Source organism: Homo sapiens, chromosome 6 (assembly GCF_000001405.40).
Source record: "Homo sapiens chromosome 6, GRCh38.p14 Primary Assembly".
Lineage (NCBI taxonomy): Eukaryota > Metazoa > Chordata > Mammalia > Primates > Hominidae > Homo > Homo sapiens.
In genome coordinates, this window is record NC_000006.12 from 131,244,921 (window position 1) to 131,267,446 (window position 22,526).

At 38.5% G+C, this 22,526-nt stretch overlaps 1 protein-coding gene across 18 annotated transcripts in view; it reads left to right on the top strand.

Moving 5' to 3' along the window:
- Positions 1–22,526, top strand: part of AKAP7 (A-kinase anchoring protein 7) — a 157,906-nt gene that overhangs the window by 119,294 nt on the left and 16,086 nt on the right. For 2 of the 18 annotated variants that reach the window (NM_004842.4, NM_001387864.1), the window contains exon 1: positions 5,484–5,696. The exons of 15 other annotated variants lie outside the window; for them this stretch is intronic. In NM_004842.4, the coding sequence (NP_004833.1) occupies positions 5,648–5,696 (49 nt within the window). In that variant the 5' untranslated portion in view covers positions 5,484–5,647. Of the gene's footprint in view, positions 1–5,483; positions 5,697–8,116; positions 8,186–22,526 lie in introns of those variants that run through there. One more of the 18 variants, NM_138633.3, reaches the window with a different exon arrangement.

Genomic DNA, 22,526 nt, shown 5'->3' on the forward strand with positions numbered 1-22,526 from the left:
AGTTTTAGAGAAAAACAAAAGCACTGTAAAGAGAAGTAAAAAGTCTGTTGAAAATATGACTAAAGTAGGAGTAATGGTTTAAAAAAAAGATTCTTGGCTTCCAAATTTCACAGTTAAGACTGATTCTTTTTGCAGGTAATTAAGAACAGGACTTAACCAGTGAGATTTATAGATAAAGTTTTTTCGGTTGTGGTTTAATGATGTTGTTTCAGAATCTTTCTCTTTGGTTACAAAATGACTACAAAGATGCAGCAGTGGCTAAACAATAAAGAAGCATCTTTTGGGTCTGGCCTATTGTGGATTGATTATTGAGAGTTGAATTCTTTTTTTTTTTTTTTTTCTTGAGATGGAGTCTCACACTGTTGCCCGGGCTGGAGTGCAGTAGTGCAACTCGACTCACTGCAACCGCCACCTCCCAGGTTCATGCAATTCTCCTGCCTCAGCATCCCGAGTAGCTGGGATTACAGGCACCCACCACCACGCCCAGCTACGTTTTTTTTTTTGTTTTTTTGTTTTTGGTTTTTTTTTTTGTATTTTTAGTAGAGACGCGGTTTCACTACAAGAACACAGAGAAACAAAATGTAATACTGGGTATGTCCATCCGATTTTCTTCAGGCCCAGAATAATTGTTTGTCTTTTTGGTACCCAGTGGCAACATAAAAATTGGAATGTATTCCAAAACATCCCAATTTCCACAAGTTATGTTTCCACGAATTGTCAAGCACTTCTTGAACTTAACATACATTTTCACTGAAATTGTGACATTTCTTGGCATAACAGTTTCCATGAGTGGGCTACCAGCTGTGTAATGAAATCTTTCTAAATTGTCTCTTTTATAGTTAAAGGTATGTCTCGTCTCCTAAGGCTTGGTTCCAAAATTTAGAAGGATAAAGTGGTTTTTCTCTTTCTTTATGCTTCATCATTTAATGTCCTCTTTTCTCTCCTCTCTTTTGAATACAAGATATTTACCATGTTTTTCCTTCTCATGTGTCTCTGCAAGTTGTCAGACTCAAATTTCCTTTAATTAGTGAGTTGGAAGCCTCAGAAGATTGGGAATTTGTACAGTTTTGGTAAGAATTGATAATTTGCATAGTTTTGTAGAGTCAGAATCTTACAGCAAGGTTTGCTTTTTATTATGACTCAGACTTTTCCATGAGGTTTCTCAGAAGTCCAAATATATATATATATATATATATATGTTCAGTTATAGGTAGAAAAAGATGCTAACCAACAGAGAATAGAGCTTTTGGTCATAGTTAAGAATTATCTTTTTCCATTAGAGACAATAATCAGAGCTGACAGTTAAAGTACATGGACAAGAGGCAGCTGCCACCCACCTCATACTTTTTAGTTTTATTGCTGCCATTTTAAACAATTGTAATAAAAAGCCCAAAATATGATAGCAAATATAGGCAACTGTCCTAACCGTGATTGGTCTGTAGCCAGGCCTGGGAGAAAAGAAAGCATGGAAAGGTTATGGTTTTAAGTTTATGAACATAGTATCATATCAGATATTTTTCCTCATCAAGGTTAACCTTCTTTTTTAAATCTTACAGTAGACCTCCATATGCTACTGAGAAGAGTGTTAATTCCCTAATAAAAGGTCATGAATATTGTCAGGGATTATGTTTGTGAATGGTCCAAGTTGCTATTTTTCCTGGAAGATGAATGTGTTCAGGGGCCATTCTGCTATTTCTGTGCTCTTAATTGAGTCGTTTTTCCAAGATGTGGCAGGCAACAGTGCTAGGCTCCAGCCCCAAAAAGGGTCTATCTTTAGGTCCTTTGTTTTGAAATAGGATTATATTACTCTAGCAGCATTAGTAAAGGGATTTGATGGCAAAACATGAGGAACCAAGGCAAGATTTTGATAGAGCTTGGTTAAATAACATTTTTCTGCATAATATTTTGAAATTGTGGTATGCTGTTTCATATTGTATATAGCTGAGTCTACACACAAATTGTGTTTAATAATACAGAACTCTGGATCAAATGCTTAGGGTTTGTAGAGCCAGACAGATTGAGTTCAGATCCCCTTATTGTCAATACTCTCCAAAAGATTTCACCCAAGTTACTTTGCTGAGCTTACGTTTTTCACCTGTAAAATGGGGATAGTAATACCACCATCTTCAGAGAGCTGTCTTAGAGATTAAATGAATGAGTAAACTCAAGTGCCTGGTGTTATGTGTCCAGTAAATGTTAGGTTTTAGAATTCTTATCTTGAATTTCTCCATTGTTTTCTATCTTTCATTATGGTTAATTCACTTAATGCTTATGAAAAAGCCTCTAACATTATCTAGCTCCCCTTCATTCATGCAGAATATCTTGATAGTTAATGACACATTTCATATGTATATATATATATATATATATATATATATATATATATATATATATGTTTTTTTTTTCTTTTTTTTTTTTTTTCCGAGATGGAGTCTCTCTCTGTCACCCAGGCTGGAGTGCAGTGGCATGATCTCAGCTCACTGCAACCTCCACCTCCCAGGCTCAAGTGATTCTTCTGCCTCAGCCTCCCGAGTAGCTGGGACTACAGGCGTGCACCACCATGCCTGGTTAATTTTTGTATTTTTAATAGAGGCGGGGTTTCACTATGTTAGGCTGGTCTTGAACTCCTGATCTCGTGATCCACCCACCTTGGCCTCCTGAAGTGCTGGGATTACAGGCATGAGCCACCGCGCCTGGCCATATTTTATTTCTTTTATAGAGACAGGGTCTCACTCGGTCACTCCTGCACTCAGGCTGGAGTACAGTGGTATGATCATAGCTCACTATAACCTTGAACTCCTGGGCTCAAGCAATCCTCCTGCTTCAGCCTCCTGAGTAGCTAGGACTAAGGCATGTGCCACTATGCCCAGCTAATTTTTAAAATTTTTTTGTAGAGATGGGGTCTCACTGTGTTACCCAGGCTGGTCTCGCAGTCTTGGCCTGAAGTGATTCTCTCACCTTGGCCCCCCAAAGTGCTGGCATTATAGGCATGAGCCATGGTGCCTGTCCCTATTCTTAATTGCACATTTTCAGAAGCAGTGCCAACAGGGAATGGTTAATAATAAAGTTAAGTTGGTAGGATTTATTGCACGAACATTATCCTCCTGGGCTCTGAGTTTGAGTAGAGGGCCTTTTTGTTTGGAGGCCAGATATATAAGCATTAACTCAAGATGGCAGCTAGTAGGGCACAAAATTGGAAGAGCAGGAGGCAAGATTACTACCTGGTGCTAGAAAGACTGAGGTGCATATAAATACAGCCATCAGACAATCTGTTCTCTTCTTCCCCTCCCCATCAAATACTATTTTGCAATGCAAATTAAAAGCTTTATAATGAACTTACCTGAATTACAGATAAAGATATCAAAACTCTGACCAGGAGGCATGAGTTTCATAACTGTTAATACCTGACATCTGGGATTTAAACCCATGGTTTCCTGACTCTAAAGGTTTTATCACTATACTGATGCTGGTGATTGGGAAATGCCAGGAGTTACTAATTTTCCTCAGTGAAGAACGTTCCCTGCAAATACATCTTCACTGAACACAAAAAGTAATGTTTAGGATAATTGTTCACTGGTTGTTAGGCTATTTCCTTTGTTATTTTGATCACAAAATCATATAATGCTAGTACTGTAGAGGATCCTAATATGCCTACTGCCTTATTTTTGGGTGAAGAAACTGAGGTCCAGAGAGGACCAAGGGCTTCTCTGGTGTTTCCTAGCTGGGTAGTGGCAGTGTTAAGGCTGGGAAGAACCACATTCTGTGTCACGTCTCCAGTGTTCAAAATTTGCTGTAGGTTCTGATGTTTCCATTTTTAGGGTTACAGGCCATTTATTTGCTTTCTGGTCTTAATAAGGTTTATATTATTGCTTTTAGGACTATTTTACATTTATATACAAAATCATTTTATATTTTAAAACATACACCTGTATTCACTCATGTATTGGTGAATTTGGGGGAATACTGGAAGAGTTTAAAGTTGCTGTTTATTTATAAGTCACTAAGCTGTGAAGAAACCCAACTGGTTATAAAAGTGGAATTTTACTTAAAATTATAATGTTCATTGTATGATAGAATGGAGTGTCCTCTTTAAACCAAGGTAAAATAAGCATCTTTACATTTTAAATAGTCTGAAAAAGTGAAAGCAATTTAAAGACATGTAATTCTCTAAACATTAATTTTAATTATGTGGATAGACCTGCCAGTTTAATCAGTCAGATCTTTGCTTTTTATTCCATAGATCTTCACAATATTTCTAATGTGGAAGTCAAAGTGCATATTAATGTACCTGTGACATATAAAAACAACTGTGTTCCTTGATAACACTCTCAAATACTCTTTGATATTTGCATCAAAATTATCAAAATTCTATCTTTCAGAAAAAAAGCATTGAAAACAGATACTAGTGTTTGCCAGCATCTTCACTGTTTTTTTTAATGCGACAAATATAATTTGTAAAATTGACAATTTTCATTTTTCCATGCTGCAGGCTCTTTTTGTTTGGATGATCATGAAAGTAGGTGGACTATGTTCAGAACCACTTGAGGTGTTCAGCATCATCCTGTTCCCTCTCCTTCTAATCCATGGGAAATAGGTGTGCCTAGCTAGTAAATAGAGGAGTAAGAAAGAATCAGGGTGGAATTTCTGGCACTATGAACAATTTTTCTTTCCTAGAGTGTCATAAACTAAGGCTATTCCCTCTATAAGATAACAGATTTTGAACAATTACATGAAATCTGTTATTTCATGTAATAGAGTTCAAAATATAGCCTTTCTTAAAATTAGTTGTTTTGCTGCCCCTGAATTTGCTCAATCACCTTGTGGCTTCATTCAGAAAGATGCCCTAATCTTTTGTCTTTTTGTCAGTGATGCATCTATATTTGGGTAATTTTCTAGGCTGTTGACATATTTGATGGTATAATTTCAAAATTAATATTATTGATTACTGCTTTACTAGGGGAATAAGGCAATATATCAGAAAGCAGGAATTTAAAAGATATGCCGTACCGTACAGATAACAGTCGATAGCCTCTTTCCCCACACTTAGCCTATCATTTCTATTGTTCATGCAGTTTGCTAGGTAGTTAATGGTACTTCATACAAGTTGTGATTCCAGTGTTCTGCTATGTTGGGTTTTCTATTCATAAACCACAATCTCCTAGGGATAAAAGAAGGCTCTTCCTCTTTAAGTAGCAGACAGAAAATATGGTTTTTTTGGGGGTTTGAATTTTCATGTGTAATTACTGCAGTTGTCTGTAGGAGAAAGGGCTCATTGTGGTTTTTCTCGACTACCTTTCTTAAAGACATATGCAAATAGCCAGACAGAACACATGGCACTGACCTATGGCCAGGGACTCACAGTTTTGTGAGAATACGGGAGCGTATAGCCACTTCCTTCACTGAATGCCAGTCCCAGAGCAGTTGCATTAGGCTGGAGGACTGGAGGTGGAGCCTTTTTTGCTCACGGCAGCAAGTTCCCTTCTCCTTTCTCTCCCCCGGCGGCGTGTGCATTGGCTCTTCAAGCTGCCTGTGCTGCTCCGTGGAGTGAAAAAGGCAGGGTGTGCTCGCAGACTGTGCTATAAACTGCAATTTCTATTTGGGGTCCTCACGGAGAAGAACACCAGGAAAGACAGACAGGACCAGTGCCATGGGCCAGCTTTGCTGCTTTCCTTTCTCAAGAGATGAAGGAAAAATCAGTAAGTGGGATTTGTACTGTGCAGAATCCTAAGTGCTTGACTATTTTGTGCGGTTGTCTTCTAGGGGTAGTTTTGCTCTTTTTTTAATGGGAAGGATAGCAGACTAATCAGCTATGGTTTTTAATGTGTGTTTCTTAAAGGGACTGGTAGGTGTGTAGTTACAAATTAACTGTAAAAGTACTGCAACTCAGTAGATGGGCTGTGTTAAAAATACAAAATACTGAAAACTCATTTCTGATTCTCCTCTGTTGGTATTCTCCCAGCTCATTTTTATCCCACTACATTAGAGTCAGAGTTTAGTTTTGAGTTTCTTTAAATCACTGCATTCGATTTGATATACTGTACAAGCCAGACTTTATTTTTCTTATCTGAAACTGGCATATTTTCAGAGCAATGCTCAACAGTAACAAATAGGTAAAGCTGGTTCTAAAATGACACATATTAGACACTTGCAGATATTTTCATGTGTCCCCTGCTTTGTTCTTCCTGGATTCAAGTGTGCCTGTGAGACCACTCTAAACAAGTGATGCCGCTTTGCTTCTAGCAGAAGCCCCATTGAACCTGCCTAAATGAATGTTGAATTCCACAGCGGCTTGTGCCTAGAAAAGACAACTTAAAGTGGTGACATTTGCACTGAATTTTGTTCTTCACTGGCTTATGTATATTCACTTACATTTTAGCTTTGTTAAATGGAATACTGGCATTTTAATTAGTATGCTGAATAGAGTTTGCCTTACCCTAGTTGCCCCGAAATAGGGAATTTTTACTTCCTTTTCAATATAATGTTTCCAGTCATACTTGCTAAATTTGCAACCACATTTGTGTCATATCAGTGCTTGATTCTAATTTAAATAGGTCCATGGAATTTCATATCTGGTTCAGATACTGAAAGATATACGTCTGGTTTATATTTCCTGCTGCTTGTTCTTCAGGAAACTAGCCAGGGACTGTTAAAAAAAAAATACATATGCTATACCTGTTCACTTGGGAAATAAGACAGTTTTTACAGTAACTCTTTGGGGAATGCTTTGGAATAAATGCTGAAGTCTCCAAACATTGGAAACTGTGGAGCATTTGATTGTTAACAAGGAGCCAATAAGCTGCGCTCTAAATTTTACTTGTGAAAGGATACTGTAAAGTGTGTGACAGTCCTGCTCTTACAACTTGAGATGACCTTACAACAAAGTCATTCACTTTCTAACAAAGACCATTGGCATTCATTTGGCAGCCCAAGACTCTTCAGATTATTTGTCAGAATGATTTATTTGTAGTTCCTGAAGATTTGGGTTGGTTGATCTTTTTCTTGGGGAATGCTCCTCTCTGAAAAACCTTGGCATGGGCCGATGCAGGGATAGTGAATTCTTTCCCCACCCTCTTCACTTTCTGTTCCACTGCTCAGGGTTTTCCCCTGGAGTGCCTGCTCTCCTGCTCTGTTTCTCTTCTTCCCCTGTCTGTAAGCATCTTTTGGCTCCATCTGAAGACGTCAAGTTTCAACTCCAGAAGGAATTTGTTCTTTTCTGTCTTCCTTATCAGGGACTGTTGAAGAACAGTCTTCTGTTTTACATACAGTGCTTCCTAATATTGATGGACAGGAAGTAATATGTACTGCTTTTGGGGCTTACTGTTTCAAATTCCAAACTTTAAGAAAAAAATGAAGATAGAACTCTATATCTGAAATGAAGCCCGAGTCTGGAGGTGCAAATTATGGTTAGAAGAAATGCATTTGCACCCCTGCCCCCATTCACTCCTGATGGCCCCCTGGGTCCTCTCCATTTTCTGCCCATCATTCTTTCATCTGTCTGATTTTGTGGTTACTTCACTGGTTTTCTCTTCCTAATCTGCTTCATACTCCGTTCACACTCCCCATGGAAACACATATGCACATTGTAGAGCTGTTTCCTGATGCAGTGTTTAATTTCTCTGGTACAGGATGGTCTAAAGATAGGCTTCTGTGCCAGGCATCACTGTCCTTCTGGTAATAAGTGCCTAACAGTACTTATAAAGGGGACATTTAAAAAGTGGCAGAGAATTTATTGCTCAGCGTGCCTCAAGGAACATATAAATTAGCACAAACTGTGGGTATCTAGTCTGTAAGTTGTGCTGATAATGTGAAAGAATCCATAATAGACATTTGGGAGGGTCCAGCTTTTTTCTGATCTTGCTGCTCGATTGTACCGTAACCTCCTGGGTCTTATTTATCTTTGTGTCATCTCCTAATAGCCTTGTTAGCCTACTCTGAGCAATGTACTCCTTGAGCATCTACTAAAAGCAGAGCACAAAAATGTGAATACTCACTTCTTCTAATTCTGTAACAGGCGGTGGCCCTAGAATGTTCCTCCTTGAAGGTAGCCCAAATTATGGAGAATTTGATGAGTTTTTGGTGAAAGTTTAAATTTGTGGGTGTTATTCTCAAAACACAGGTGAGTTGGAAAGCTCGTCCTCTGCAGTCCTACAGAGATACAGCAAGGATATACCCAGTTGGTCAAGTGGTAAGAGTCAAGTGACCCCTCCCCTCTCCTGCTGCTATTTTATCCTGCTTTTGCCGTTTGGTGGTGGTGGTAGATAGAAATAATTCTAATTTAATTGATTTATTAGTGCTACTGTTTTAGTCTATTGATAGCAAATGATGATTTTTTTAAATCAACTAGTTGTGTGGGAGCCTAAGCTGTAGAAAGTTAACTATATGCATACCCAGAAATATTCTTATGCAATTTGAATTGATACATAATCGTTGTACATATTTATGGGGCATGTGATATTTTGGTACATGCATGCAATGTGTAAGGATCAAATCAGGGCAATTAGGATATCCATCACCTCAAACATTTATCATTTCCTTGTGGCGGGAATATTTCAACTTCCAGCTATTTTGGAATGTACAATAAATGTTTTTAACTATAGTCACCTTACTGTGCTGTCAAACATTAGAACCAATTCCTTCTATCTAACTGTGTTTGTACCTATTAACCTCTCATCATCTTTCTCCCCTACAACTTCCCAGCCTCTGGTAACCATCATTCCACTCTATCTCCATGAGATCTACTTATTTATTTATTTATTTATTTATTTATTTATTTATAAGCTCCAACATAGGAATGAGAACATACAATATTTGTCTTTATGTGCCTGGCTTATTTCACTTCCTGTAATGACCTACATTTCCATCCATGTTGCTGAAAATGACAGGATTTTATTCTTTTTTATGGCTGAATCGTATTCCATAGTATATATATACCACATTTTCATTATCCATTCATCTATTGATGGAAAGTTAGGTTGATTCCGTATTTGGCTCTTGTGAATAATGCTGCAGTAAACATCGGGGTGCAGGTATTCCTTTGATACACTGATCTCCTTTTCTGTGGATAGATACCCAGTAGTGGGATTGCTAGAAATTTTGCCAGTGGGCTGAATAGTCAAATACAGCAGAGCTTGTCATGGTTTATTTATTAATTAGTGCAGCACAAAACACTTTTTTGTTTAAATCTTGGAAATTAAACATTTTTCCAAACTGTATTTTTCACCACAGTAAGTAGAATACACTGCCAATAAATTCATGTTTCTTGGAAGATTAGGCTCTTTCTCTTGCTCTACGGGAACATTGTTAACATTAAAAATTACTGGAAATATTATAGGTTTAACAAATACTATAGGTATTTTCCAATGTAGTTTTTGCTGACTACTTATATAGAACTTGATTTATTTGAATTACCTAATTTCTCATATTGAGCTGCCTGAAAGGAATGTCTATCATGAACAGAAATGTCATTGCAGATAACCCACAGTGGTCAATATTGCAGAGGCATATGGACCACTCTGGGTTATCTATCTTATTAAGCAAACCTCACAAGAAAACTTAATAACTATGTAGATACCTCTGTAACTAATTAGAAAACATTTTATTTTCTCTTTTGCTGTTGCTGATTTTCCCATTTTGAAGTACACTGCTTTTATGTAGAATTAAATGGATGAATGGTAAAGATGAACTGACCTACCTCATGAGTTAGTCTCTTGTCACTGAAAGTATTCAAGGACAGGATGGGGACATCATAAGGACATCACCTTCTAGGGATGTTGTAAGGGGAGAATGGACTTGCTAATGAATGAATGCACTGACAACTCAGTTTCTTTCTAGTCCTGATATTCTGTGATGGCTGAAAATAAAATATTAGAATAAGTATGTGTTTTAACAAGACACATTTTAATTTTATACATGAAATATGTGTTAGTATAGTCTTTTTGTGTGGGATGAATTACTGGGACCATTTATAGTACTCATTTTATAAATATGAGTCAAATGTTGAGATAATTTCTGATATTACATTAATCCATAAATTGAGGTATGCAGTGTGGATTTAATGTCTGGTGAATACATATATATAACCGTAATTACCATAAAGGTGATCAAATTTTACACAAGGACATCTATATTTAGATTTTCCAATTACCTAGAAGTCATCCTAGAAATCCTATAGCCTTATACTTTGCTCTTCTCATTTGCACCTAAGATATGCTGACTTCATGGTTACCTTTCACATGTCTGCTCTATCTTATCACATGGATTTCAAACACCTCGTATTCAGGGTAGGTGTCGTACATCTCTCTTAGTGGCACCAGACCCTAACATAGCGTGTTACCCAGAGGAGGCATGTTCTAAATGTTTGTCGATGAAGGGAATGATACACATTTCTTGTGAGTGTGAGAGAGCTTCAGTGTCAATCAGCCTATCAGATGATAGAATATGGAATAACTGGTTAATGTTGGAACCCATGAAGAGCTTTGGTTACTGAACGTACCAGAGAAACATTTTAACAGGCTCACACTTAGACTTTACATTCTGGGCCCCAGGGAATGAGGATAGGGAACCTCCCATCAAAGGACAGTGACACTTTATTTTTCTTCCTTGCCAGTAAAAATGTGTTTGCCCACAGGGGACACAGCATAACTCCAGTTCTGCCACTGCCTGTTAAAAACATATGGCCCATTGCTTGGCATGCAGTTCTTACTGTAGACAGAGCACAGGCCTGGGAGGACAGAGAGCTGGATGGGAAACCCAGCTCTGCTATTACATCCTGTCTGTCTGAGCAAGCTGCTAACATCTCAGGGCTTCAGTTCCTCAGATTTAAGAAGTGGGGGTTGAACTACTCTTGTTTAATTCATATTTTCTCATTTGCCCCTTAGAGCTAAGAGTCTAGGGAATAAAAGAATGAGTGATATAGATGTGATGCAATTCTTTCTCTTCCTCCTCCTCCAAATCTTCCTCTTTGACTTCCCCTCTTTTTCTCCTCCTCTTAATTTATTTAATGTTTACTGTGTGCCAAGTACTATGCTAGGATTATGTTCAAGACTGCTTATTAAATGCAACTGTTAGAAAATAGATGCTCCCTGTCTCATTTAAGAGTGCAAGTTGCTGAAAGCCAGAAGTGTGGGGGATTTCTCAGTTACAGTCTCCCGGGGTGCCATGGGGCTGAGAGCTGGTAGAAGGCTGGGATCCTAGGCAGCTCAGCATCTGCTGCCCTCTTTCTGAAGCAGTGAAGCCAGAGGTATTGTGTGTAACCTGAGACTACATTTTGCGTAAGATTTCTGTGGGTAATATTGTGGTAGCAGCAGGAATGGTGTGCAAGGTAAAACAAACATTTAACCATAGTCACTAAAGGTTAGATTTTCCCTTTATTAAATAATTTGTAATTAGGAGGCTTATGTTTCTAAAATCAAGTAAAGGAACATTAGAGCAAATGCTAGTACTTACTATTCTTATCTTACCTTCCTGATTCCATCTATTAATTCATAGGCTATGTGGTAACTGGATTCCTTCTTGTTATTCTGACATTTTTAGAGTTTGCAGGATTCTACCATCAAATGTTGAATAATTTCCATGAGGAATAGCAAGGTTGTAGAATTATTCCCAGCCCCCAGTAGAGCCATTGACTGCCATGAGCTGTATCCAAAAGCCCTGTCCTTCAGCAGTGTGATGTGGTCTGTCCTGTGTCATCTTCCTGGGGGGCCATGAAAGAAGCAGCAGGACTCTGATATACCGAAAGCTTTTGGCTAATAAAAGAAAGTTTCATATCTGAATTACTCCTTCCTGGGACATTATTATTATTATTATTATTATTATTAAAGAGATGGCCCAAGCAGGTCTCAAACTCCTGGCCTCAAGTGATCCTCCCACCTCGGCCTCCCAGAGTATTGGGATTATAGATGTGAGCCACTGCACCCAGCCATGGATTTGCATTTTAATAAGACCAAATTATCCCAAGTGCTCTTGGGAAATATTTATAGTAAAATAATGAAATAAAAAATAAAAGATAAGCAGTGATGATGACAGCCCAACTCAAAAGAGTTTCAAAATTCTCAATGTCTATATGGTAGAAAAATGGAGGCTCTAGAGACAAAATGGCTCAGTTTGCACTTTTGGTTCTGACATTTACCGTTTAACTTCTCTAAGATTTTTTTCTGTGCATTTGTCTTAAACAGTATCTACCTATTGAGAAAATTAAATAAGCTAATGCCTATAAAATTCCTGACACTGTGCTTGGCATATAATAGACTCAGTAAATATAAATTTCTTTGCAGCAAATAGTGTGTTAATTGCATAGCCGCAGTAAGAAGTCAGCTTGAGCTTGGGCAACATGGCAAAAATTAACTGGGTGTGATAATGTGTACCTGTAGTCCCAACTACTCGGGAGGCTGAAGTGCCATGATTGCACCACTGTACTCCAGCCTGGGTGACAAAGTGAGGCCTTGTCTCAAAAAAAAAAAAAAAAAAAAAAGTCAGCTTGGCAGAACTATGCTTTTATTTCTACCTTATGCAGTAGAGATAAAAAGGCACTTGGAATGTCAGACCTTGAATTTTTGAGTAGACTTGCAGCATTGATCTGCACAGCCTAATTTCCTATGGGGAATGGGGAACTCTTTCCCCCACTTCTTGGGGTCTTGTCCATCATGAGGCCTTACTTCCTGCCCCAGGAGAGACATGTGGTCCTAGCAAAGTCAACCATGATCTTCCTTGAGATTTGATAGAGAGCCTGTCTTCCTTTTGGGTTGTGAGCAGAAAGGCTGTCATCCTAAGATCACAGTACTTGGTACTGTAGAGCAAGTACCATCAGGAAGAGTCGTTCTGAGAATGGAGCCAGCACAGAGGAAAGTAAGCCTAGGGAAGGAGAGAGTCCTGATGAGTGTCTGAGCCTCTGAGTTCAGCCATGCCCAAGACCTTCTGCACTACATGAAGCAGTAAATCCTCCCTTTTTTCTTTGTTTACACTTGCTTGATTTAGGGGACACTCAGTGTGTATATAAGTAGAAATAAAACCATAGTTATGCCAAGCTGACTTCTAAGGTGACTGTGGTTACACAATTAATACACTTTTTTTGTTGCAGGGAAATTATATTTTCTGAGTTTATTAGATGCCATGTCCCAGTGTGTATTCCGAAACAAATATTACCAAACCTAGTGAAGAAGTGAGAGTTCTCTGACTTACTATTCATGTTCCATTTTAGTTGCAATGAAATGTAGCCTTAAGTCAGAGCTGCTGTTAAGGAATAGCAGGTTCACTTCAATTAATGTTGTTGAGCCCATGATTCAGAAAACTCTGAGCCAGGTGTTCTGAAAGGTATGATGATGAGTAACACATGCTTCCTACTAATGGATTCTTTCTTTAAAAAGTTACATGGCCTTGTAAAAAGAAATCTGTGAGACCTCAAAGTTTATTATGCCTTGAACGTAAAAAGCCAAGATAAAGGATATTGATTGATGCTTTCAGTCTAACAAGCAAAGCCATGCCTCTTACATGCCCAGGGAGTTCCATAGCTAAGTCACTGAGAGTGAGTTAATTACTACCCAAATTGGAAATTACCTTAAGCTTCTATCCCAGGCAGGATTTACAACTTGACATGAACAAACAGTTCCTACAGCAAACATCTTAGCAAATAAAATCTTCTGTGACTAACATTCATAATGTGAGTTACAAGTTAACAGACCTTGAAACTATTAAAATAAATCTTTCAGTTGCATGGTAAAGTTCTTTGCCCTTAGCAAATAGTCATAGACAAAAGCGGAACTGTATGATGAAAATATAAAGAATAAGTATAGCTTTAACTTAAATTATATGGTAACTAGAACATAAATGTTGTTAATTTTATTAAAGGTTAAATCAGAGATATTTGAGGCTTATAATTTTCTGCACTTATTTATATACTTTCCCCCAAAACTTATGAATTTAGTCAAGAACATTAATAAACCTATTATGTATCTATGTAGTGCCAGGGAGAAAGTGATATACAAACAAGATGCTTGGTGTGGATTGACAGAGGATCTCATATTCCCAAGGGAGTCAGAGCTCACCTAGTTACCTAGTTTGTAGTGCTGATGGGAGAGGGAAGAAGGAATCAGGTGGAAAGGGTGATTCACTCTAAACGACCTGGCTCAGAGCCCCTCCCCGGCTTCTCTCCTGACTTCGAGGTCAGATAGTAGTTGTTGGCATTTGCCATGTGAATTACATCAGGCTTCAGTTTGATGTCTCATATCTGACTGTTTAAGCAAAAATATAATTCACACTTTCTAAGCATTTTAAATGTTCAGCTAAAGTTAGCTGTGAAATGCAGCCTTTTCAGGATTTGATTGATAGCTGATAAACTGGCAAGCAGATGACTTGTTAATCTCAGACTTTCTATCTAGGGCTATTGTAGTCAGACTTTGTTTAGAGTACTGGCCAGCTGGAGTGTGACCTGAGGGAGGCCAGGATGGTGACGAGCCTGGAAACCACATCACAAGAGGAAAGCTGAAGGACTCAGGCAGCTTAGCTGGGAGGAGAGAAGGTAGAAGAATTAGTGGTCTTAGAACATTTAGAGGGCTCTTTAATGTGGAAGCAAAAGAAGAGTTGTTTTGTATGGCTCTAGGGGAACAGAATTAGGACAGTGAGTGTTAGTTTAACACATTTTCTTTTGGTGGTCTTAGAAGCCAGTGGTAAAGATACATTAAACCCAGTAGTATTCTAATTATGTTTGCAGTAAATCTTGTTTTAAACAATGAAAATACTGAAATGGGATCATAAAATAGAGAAGTTCTCATAGTCAAATTTTGTATTAGTAATTCATAATAAATTGCCTGAGAGAAGATTTTTTAAGGCAGAATTTTCAAACTATTTTAAGTCACCGAACAATTTAAATGGAAGAGCAAAATTTTTTTAAATTTTATTTTAAGTTCTGGGATACCTGTGCAGAGTGTGCAGGTTTGTTAGGTAAATGTGTGCCATGGTGGTTTGCTCCACCCATCAACCCATCACCCAGGTATTAAGCCTTGCATGCATTAGCTATTTATCCGGATACTCTCTTGCCCCTCATCCACCCAACAGGCCCCAGTGTGTGCTGTTCCCCTCCCTGTGTACATGTGCTCTCATTGTTCAGCCCCTACTTGTAAGTGAGAACATGTGGTGTTTGTTTTTTTTTTCTGTTCCTGTGTTAGTTTGCTGAGGATAGTGGCTTCCATATCCATCCATGTCCCTGCAAAGGACATGATCTTGTTCCTTTTTAAGGCTGCATAGTATTCCATGGTGTATATGTACCACATTTTCTTTATCTAGTCTATCATTGATGGGCATTTGGGTTGATTCCATGTCTTTGCTATTGTGAATAGTGCTGCAATAAACATACGTGTGCGTGTATCTTTATAATAGAATGATTTATATTTTTTTGGGCATATACCCAGTAATGGGATTGCTGGGTCAAATGGTATTTCTGGTTCTGGGTCTTTGAGGAATCTCCACACTGTCTTCCACAGTGGTTGAACTAATTTACATTCCCACCAACAGTGTAAAAGTGTTCCTGTTTCTCCAGCCTCGCCAGCATCTGTTATTTCTTGACATTTTAATAATCGCCATTCTAACTGGTATTAGATGGTATCTTATTGTGGTTTTGATTTGCGTTTCTCTAATGATCAGTGATGCTGAGCTGTTTTTCATATATTTGTTGGCTGCACAGATGTCTTCTTTTGAGAAGTGTCTGTTCATGTCTTTTGCCCACTTTTTAATGGGGTGGTTTGTTTTTTTCTTGTAAATTTGTTTAAGTTCTTTGTAGATTCTGGATATTAGCCCTTGGTCAGATGGATAGATTGCAAAATTTCCTCCCATTCTTTAGGTTGTCTGTTCACTATGATAATAGTTTCTTTTGCTGTGCAGAAGCTTTTTAGTTTAATTAGATTCCACTTGTTAATTTTTGCTTAGAACACCAAAATTTTCATGAAAAAATGTCTACCTTTTTATTTTCCTTAATTTATAGTCACTATTAAATGAATATTTTAATGGCCCGGCACAGTGGCTCATGACTGTAATCCCAGCACTTTGGGAGGCCGAGGTGGGTGGATCACCTGAGGTTGGGAGTTTGAGACCAGCCTGACCAACATGGAGAAACCCCTTCTCTACTAAAAATACAAAGTTAGCTGGGCGTAGTGGCACATGCCTGTAATCGCAGCTACTCAGCAGGCTGAGGCAGGAGAATCGCTTGAACCCAGGAGGTGGAGGTTGCAGTGAGCTGAGATTGCACCATTGCGCAACAAGAGCGAATGCAGCCTGGGCAACAAGAGCAAAACTCTGTCTCCAAAAAAAAAAAAAAAAGAATATTTTAAATTAATGGCTTTAAGACCAACAAATATGCTTTAAGATAGAAGTATAACATACAAGTTTGGGCTCAAATACATTGTTGTAACACTTACATACCACATAAAATACCAATTATTGAACTAATGGTAACAGCTGGCAGTTGGTACCAATGAATCCTAGAGATAATAAACTAAGGTGTAATGTCTATTGTATTATTGTCTTTATAAATAAAATTTTTATGAAACTATTTTGTCCACATTTAGGTTTAAATTAATTTTCTCTAAAATTAGTTTGGTAAATTTAACATAAAAATTCATTGAGATGCTATTATATACCCAGTACTGTACTTAACCTACTGAACCTCCAATGTAAAATCAGATTTACAGATTTTACAGAGCCTAAAAATATGTAGTAAAACTGTTAAATTTGAATATTGAAAGACATAAATTGTTTTATGGAGAATCAAGTTCATGAAATACGCATTTTTTTCTAAAAAACTTCAAGCTCATAGCTGTTCCTTTGTACCCTTTGCCTCTGTCGTTCATGTCTTAGTCCGCTGTAAATAAAACATTGTGGGGGGGAAATGAAGAAGTAGTTTGTATCATTTAGAATCTAACCAAGAAAATAGAAACTACACCAGTTGCTTTAACAGAGAGAATTTAACGTAGGGAATTAGTTAAGTAAGTTTTGGAGGAATAAAGGGTGGAAAGGCAATACTGAGGGAAAAGATAGTAACTTTTAGGCTGGGTTACTTGTGGGAAGGACCCCCACATAGCCGAGACTCAGACCTTTGAGGAGAGGTTACTGTCTCCAAGGAGGTGTCCCAGTAACACAGAATAGGGACCGTCAAAGCTGGGCTTCTGGCTTTTGAGGAGGGGACATTGGCCAACTTTGCTATTGTCTCTAAGGGAATGCAGTGAGGCTGATACCAGGAGGGAAAAGATGAAAACTAGAGCCATCTGCTATTGGAACCAGTTGTTGGGGCAACACTGATGAGAGTAATGAACAAATAGCAAAGGGCAAGATCCTGTTCCCTTTGCGCAGCTGTCCAGTTTCTCTCTGCCTCCCCCTCTTGGCAGAACTTTTAGCAGATCCAGCGGGCAAAGGAGAAATAAGTGAGTTGAGTCCCAGCTCTGTTATCATAAACCTGAGTAAGGAAGGGTGGGCTTGGAGCTGAGGGGCAGTGGTTTAATAACTGGCACATCGTTGTTGGCTACACATTTTGGCAATATCTTTTTTCCCCATTGTTCCAAGGTGAGCATTTTGTTTATGCCAATGTTCTTATTTCTTTTGGGACAAAAAACAATAACCGTATTTTAAAATGATGTATTTTTCACAATAAAATTCCATAATTTTTTACAAAGTATGCAAAGATATGACCACTTCAAAAGAAATAATTTTTAAAAAAATATATATATATTGCAATAATTCAAGTTAGTTGTTAATAAGACGTTTCCAAGGAAAACTCTCACCTAGATCAATTCAACAAACTTAAAAAGAACAAATCATTTGAAAACTAATCTTTCAATAGTTTTGAACATTCTTTAAAAATAATTTCTTCTAAGTTTGTTAACCACGTGTTCTGCAATGTTATAGTATTTTTATATTTTGCTAAGCCAATTCTCTCAATCCATATTAATGATATCCACTGTCAATCTATGATATAGGGAGATAGCAAATTAGATTGGAGTTAAACCTGCAGCCAGGTAGAGATTAGCATTTGAGAATAATAAGCTGTGTTCTCACGGCTTCAGGTTTAAAGGGGACCAAAGGCTCAGACGTCAGGGGGCCAAAGCAGTGGCTAGAATGTTCTGAAGTCTGAGGAATTCTTAGAAGGATCTGGGAACTAGTCAGCAGAAACAGAAAAGGGCAGTAGAGCCAAGGCAGTGAGAGGATAGATGCCCGGAAGTGGCATACATCAAGGCAAATCTGTTCTAGTTTTTATTAGAAGGGAAAATGTAATGGCTCACCTATGCAAACAACATGAAAGGGGTAGAGATCAGCCTTGAGACCAACTTACAGACACCACCTCTCCATCTCTTCTTTCAGCTTCTGTTCTCAGCCTCTTAGGTTCCCTTGCTGGTAGGGCTCTGGCTTCCAGAAGCTTCTGTGTCGTCACTCTCTCTGGCTTCACTCAGTGATGGGGATATGACTTCCAGCATTTCTGGAGAACACCCTTACTGCTTGACATTCAAGGAGAATGAGTTTCCCTCTCCTCATTCCCATATATGAAATTTGAGGAAAGGTACAGGTTGTAAACTACAATGTGTATGCAACCTGTGAGGCAGTATACACATTGAAGACATTGTAATTTGTGTGTTATGGTGTAAAGTGCCTTTCTATACAAACGAAAGCAGCATGTTGTGAAAATTTCCCAGAAGATGGAAATGAAGTGTCTTAAGGAAGGGTCACTTCTTAAAAGATCCATGCAGAGCATCATATGGACCTGTGGTAGCTCTGGATCAACAGCCCTACTGGAGCCAGAGAGAATGTGAGAGGAGCAGTTACCAAGGGGACAGGTGCAGTGGATACTTTTATAAGAGAAGGGTGAAGGGTAGGTGAGGAAGGGATTTGGGGCAGACCATTGTAAAGTGGATGTGGCCTAGAGCCCTGGAGTGGGGCGGCAATGGAGTAGCCACTCTGATCCTAAGCTACTGTGGTGTGTGCTTTGGGCTCTTGGCAATGAGAACCACAATGCATCTCCTTTCACTCTGAATTTTGGGAAGCTCAGAACTCAAAACTTGGCTATGGGGATTTGCACCTCCATAATCTGTTTTTCCCCCCATTCTTTACTTGCTATTATAATTTATGTTTCCTTTGGGTCCTGATTTTTACTGAGAGTGTATCTTTTGCTCTATTTTTTATGCCATTAATTATATCCAGTCTTTTGGGGATTTAACCAAAAAGGAATGACTGGATGGAAAGCAGCCCTGTGACTGAAAGTATGTGTTGATTGTACAAGGAAGGTGAGAGCAAAGCTGAAACTGTGGATGATTGCGACGTTTACCACATGTGCTTAACATGTGTTCTCAGGTAGATAGTACTTGGAAAGTTGCATATAAACTGAACTTGATTCAGTTTGGTGCATCTAGAAACCTAAAACTGTATGTATCACACTATTTCTGCTGTGGTCTGTTTATGTCTGCTGGAAGCCTTTTGCAAGCATAACTAGGAGTAGCTCTTCTCTTTACCTATCATGGAATATCACTTAGTAGCAAAAGAATGTAAATGTTAGCTATATAGAACAGTGCATAAAATTATTGTTTACAGTTATTTCAACACTGTTTCAAGAAATATATTGTATAAAGTGAGTAGGTTTCCCATATTATGTTTGCTTACAGAAGTGTTTATCAGGAAGATCATAAATAAATAGCCTTGTAACCTTCTAACTTGAAAGAGGGTCACAGTGTCTCTTTCATTTAAATCAAATGGTGATAATAGTAGCTATGTTAGGCCATTTTTGTGTTGCCATCAAGGAATACCTGAGACTGGGTAATTTATAAAGAAAAGAGGTTTCATTGGCTCACAGTTCTGCACGCTGAACAGGAAGCACGGTGCTAGCATCTGCTTCTGGTGAGGGCCTCAGGAAGCTTGTACTCATGGCAGAAGGTGAAGTGGGAGCAGGCACATCACATGGCAAGAGCAGGAGCAAGAGAGGGACTGGTGAGAAGTGCCACATTCTTAAACAACCAGATCTCACATGAACTTAGGGTGAGAACTCACTCATTATCATGAGGACAGCACCAGGCCATTTATGAGAGATCTGCCCCATGATCCAAATACCTCCCACCAGGCCCCACCTTCAACACTGGGGATTATATTCCAATATGAGATTTTGAGGGGACAAACATCTAAACCATATTAATAGCTCATTTTATTGATTGCTATACTATAGGCCAATCATGATGCTAAGTGCTTTGTATTATTTTCTTTCTTTTTTTTGAGACAGAGTCTTGCTCTGTTGCCCAGGATGGGGTGCAGTGGTGCAATTTCGGCTCACTTTAACCTCTGCCTCCCGGGTTCAAGCGATTCTCATGCCTCAGCCTCCCCAGTAACTGGGATTACAGGCATGTGCCACCACACCCAGATAATTTTTGTATTTTTAGTAGAGATGGGGTTTCGCCATGTTGGCCAGCCTGATCTCAAGCTCCTGACCTCAAGTGATCCGCCCGCCTCAGCTCCCCAAAGTTCTGGGATTGCAGGCAGCTTTATATGATTTTCTTACTTAATTTTGACAGCAGCCCTGTGGTGTAGAACTACTGTTTTCCCTGGCTCACAGATAAAGTGGGCCATAGAGGGGCTGAGCAACTTTCACAGGGATACTGAGGAGGGAGTTGGGGAGCTAGGATTCCAGCCCAGGTAATCCTGACCCTGTAACTCAAGAGAAAGCAATATAAATAGTTTCTGGTTAGCAGTCTCATTTTAGAACAAAAAAAAATTACAGAAGCTATCATAGAAATACAGTTCCATTTGTCAGATGTGGAACAGCATTATGGTATAATGGCAAAAGTGTGATGTTTTGGAGCCACATAGGTCTACATTTCACTTTGTCAGTTTTTAGTTTTGTAGACTTCGGCAAGTCTCATGGCTTCTCTGACTCTTGTTTGTAAAGGAGTGATAATAGAAAGCTTTTTGACTTCAATGTGTGGGGGGAAAACCCAGGCACATAATAGATGCGTACTATGACGTCTGTTTGTTATTACTAAAAGGATCCATAAATATAATTGTCACAACTAAGTAAAGAAATAATACGTGTTGGAAAATACAAGTGTGCAGAGTTTGGGGGCTTAATGAGCAGGACACTAGATCTTGGAAGCAGCTGGTGGTGAAAGAACACAGCCCCTCACCTCCAGAGATCCCGGGAGGAGACCCTCAGCAGCCTCAGTGGGGCCAACTCTGGCTTACTCTTCAGGAAGGAACAGTAGGACATTGTAGAGGACAAGACTGGGATTGTCTCTGACCTCCTCCTTCTAATCATCGCCTCGGTTCCCTGCTTTCCACACAGAAATTAATCTTGCCTTTAGGGTGGCCTGTGGGGGAAGCCCAGCATGCTAGTGACTGTTCTTAGTCCATCCTAGTACACATGCACTTGTTCCCCACAGAGAACTGAAATTCCTTTGCCTGGGAGCAGTTCGTGCACATGTGAAGATCAAGAGCTTGAGAAGCAAATGTCAACTGATGGGTCAAATTAATTTATATTTACATGTCATCAGTGTACTATTACTCAACAAGTTTAAATGCTAGTTCCATTTCCTACAGTAAGAATTTACATTTTCAAAGAACCTTAATAAACAGTATACATCACCAAAGAGAACTTTAAAACAATTTAGTTTTTGTCTGAATACTTTTTGGAGCCTCTTGTAAATTGATAATTGTAGGCCACTGAGAAGAGAAATATCCTAAATTACTTTCTTCAGTCATTCTTCATGAAGCTAAAGCAATAAATTTATGAGATCACCAAGCTGCAGGGGTTTTTGTTGTTGTTGTTGTTGTTGTTGTTTTTTAACGGTGTGCTCTGTCTCTCTGTTCATTTTTATGATATTTCTAGAAAAGTTGGCCAAAGATGACCCTTTCTCTTGATTTTGTTGTAATGATTAATCAACTTATCTTCAAGTTCTCTTTAGCATCACACTCTATTTGACCCATTATTATTACTTTTATAATTCTCGATAAACTTGGTTGACAGATTGATTAGTATTCACAAGCAAGATGTACTGACCAAATATTTCTGTGTACCTGGAGTTTCATGTTCAGACTTCAAAGAAAAACAGTGGCAGTTAAACCTATTTTATGTGTTTGCTAGCTGAATAATTAGAAAAATTCACAGGGTAAACCATATTCTACTCACTCATCCAAAAAGCATTTGGTTTAGGATTAGTCAGCTGAGTTAAAGATTGCAGAGCTAATTTTGAATAATTTTAAAAAATATTATGAAAAAATATTTTAATATAATGTTTTCACCCTGTGATGTTTAAAGTATTTGTGATGCTCTTGGTCACTTTGTAGTTTTGCTTACATTTTAGGCCCTCTCACTAAGCATAATGACTGGATATTGGCATCAAAGATAAAATGAAGCAGCATCACTAGTCAGTGACATATCTTATGTTTTCCCATAAAATAATAGGAATGTTCTGAGACCGAAGCTTACATTTCATAACATGAGCAGTTTTCTGAAAGTCGAATTTTCTTTAGCGTTATACTTCACAGGTTGAAATAAGCAACCTTGAAGACGAGCC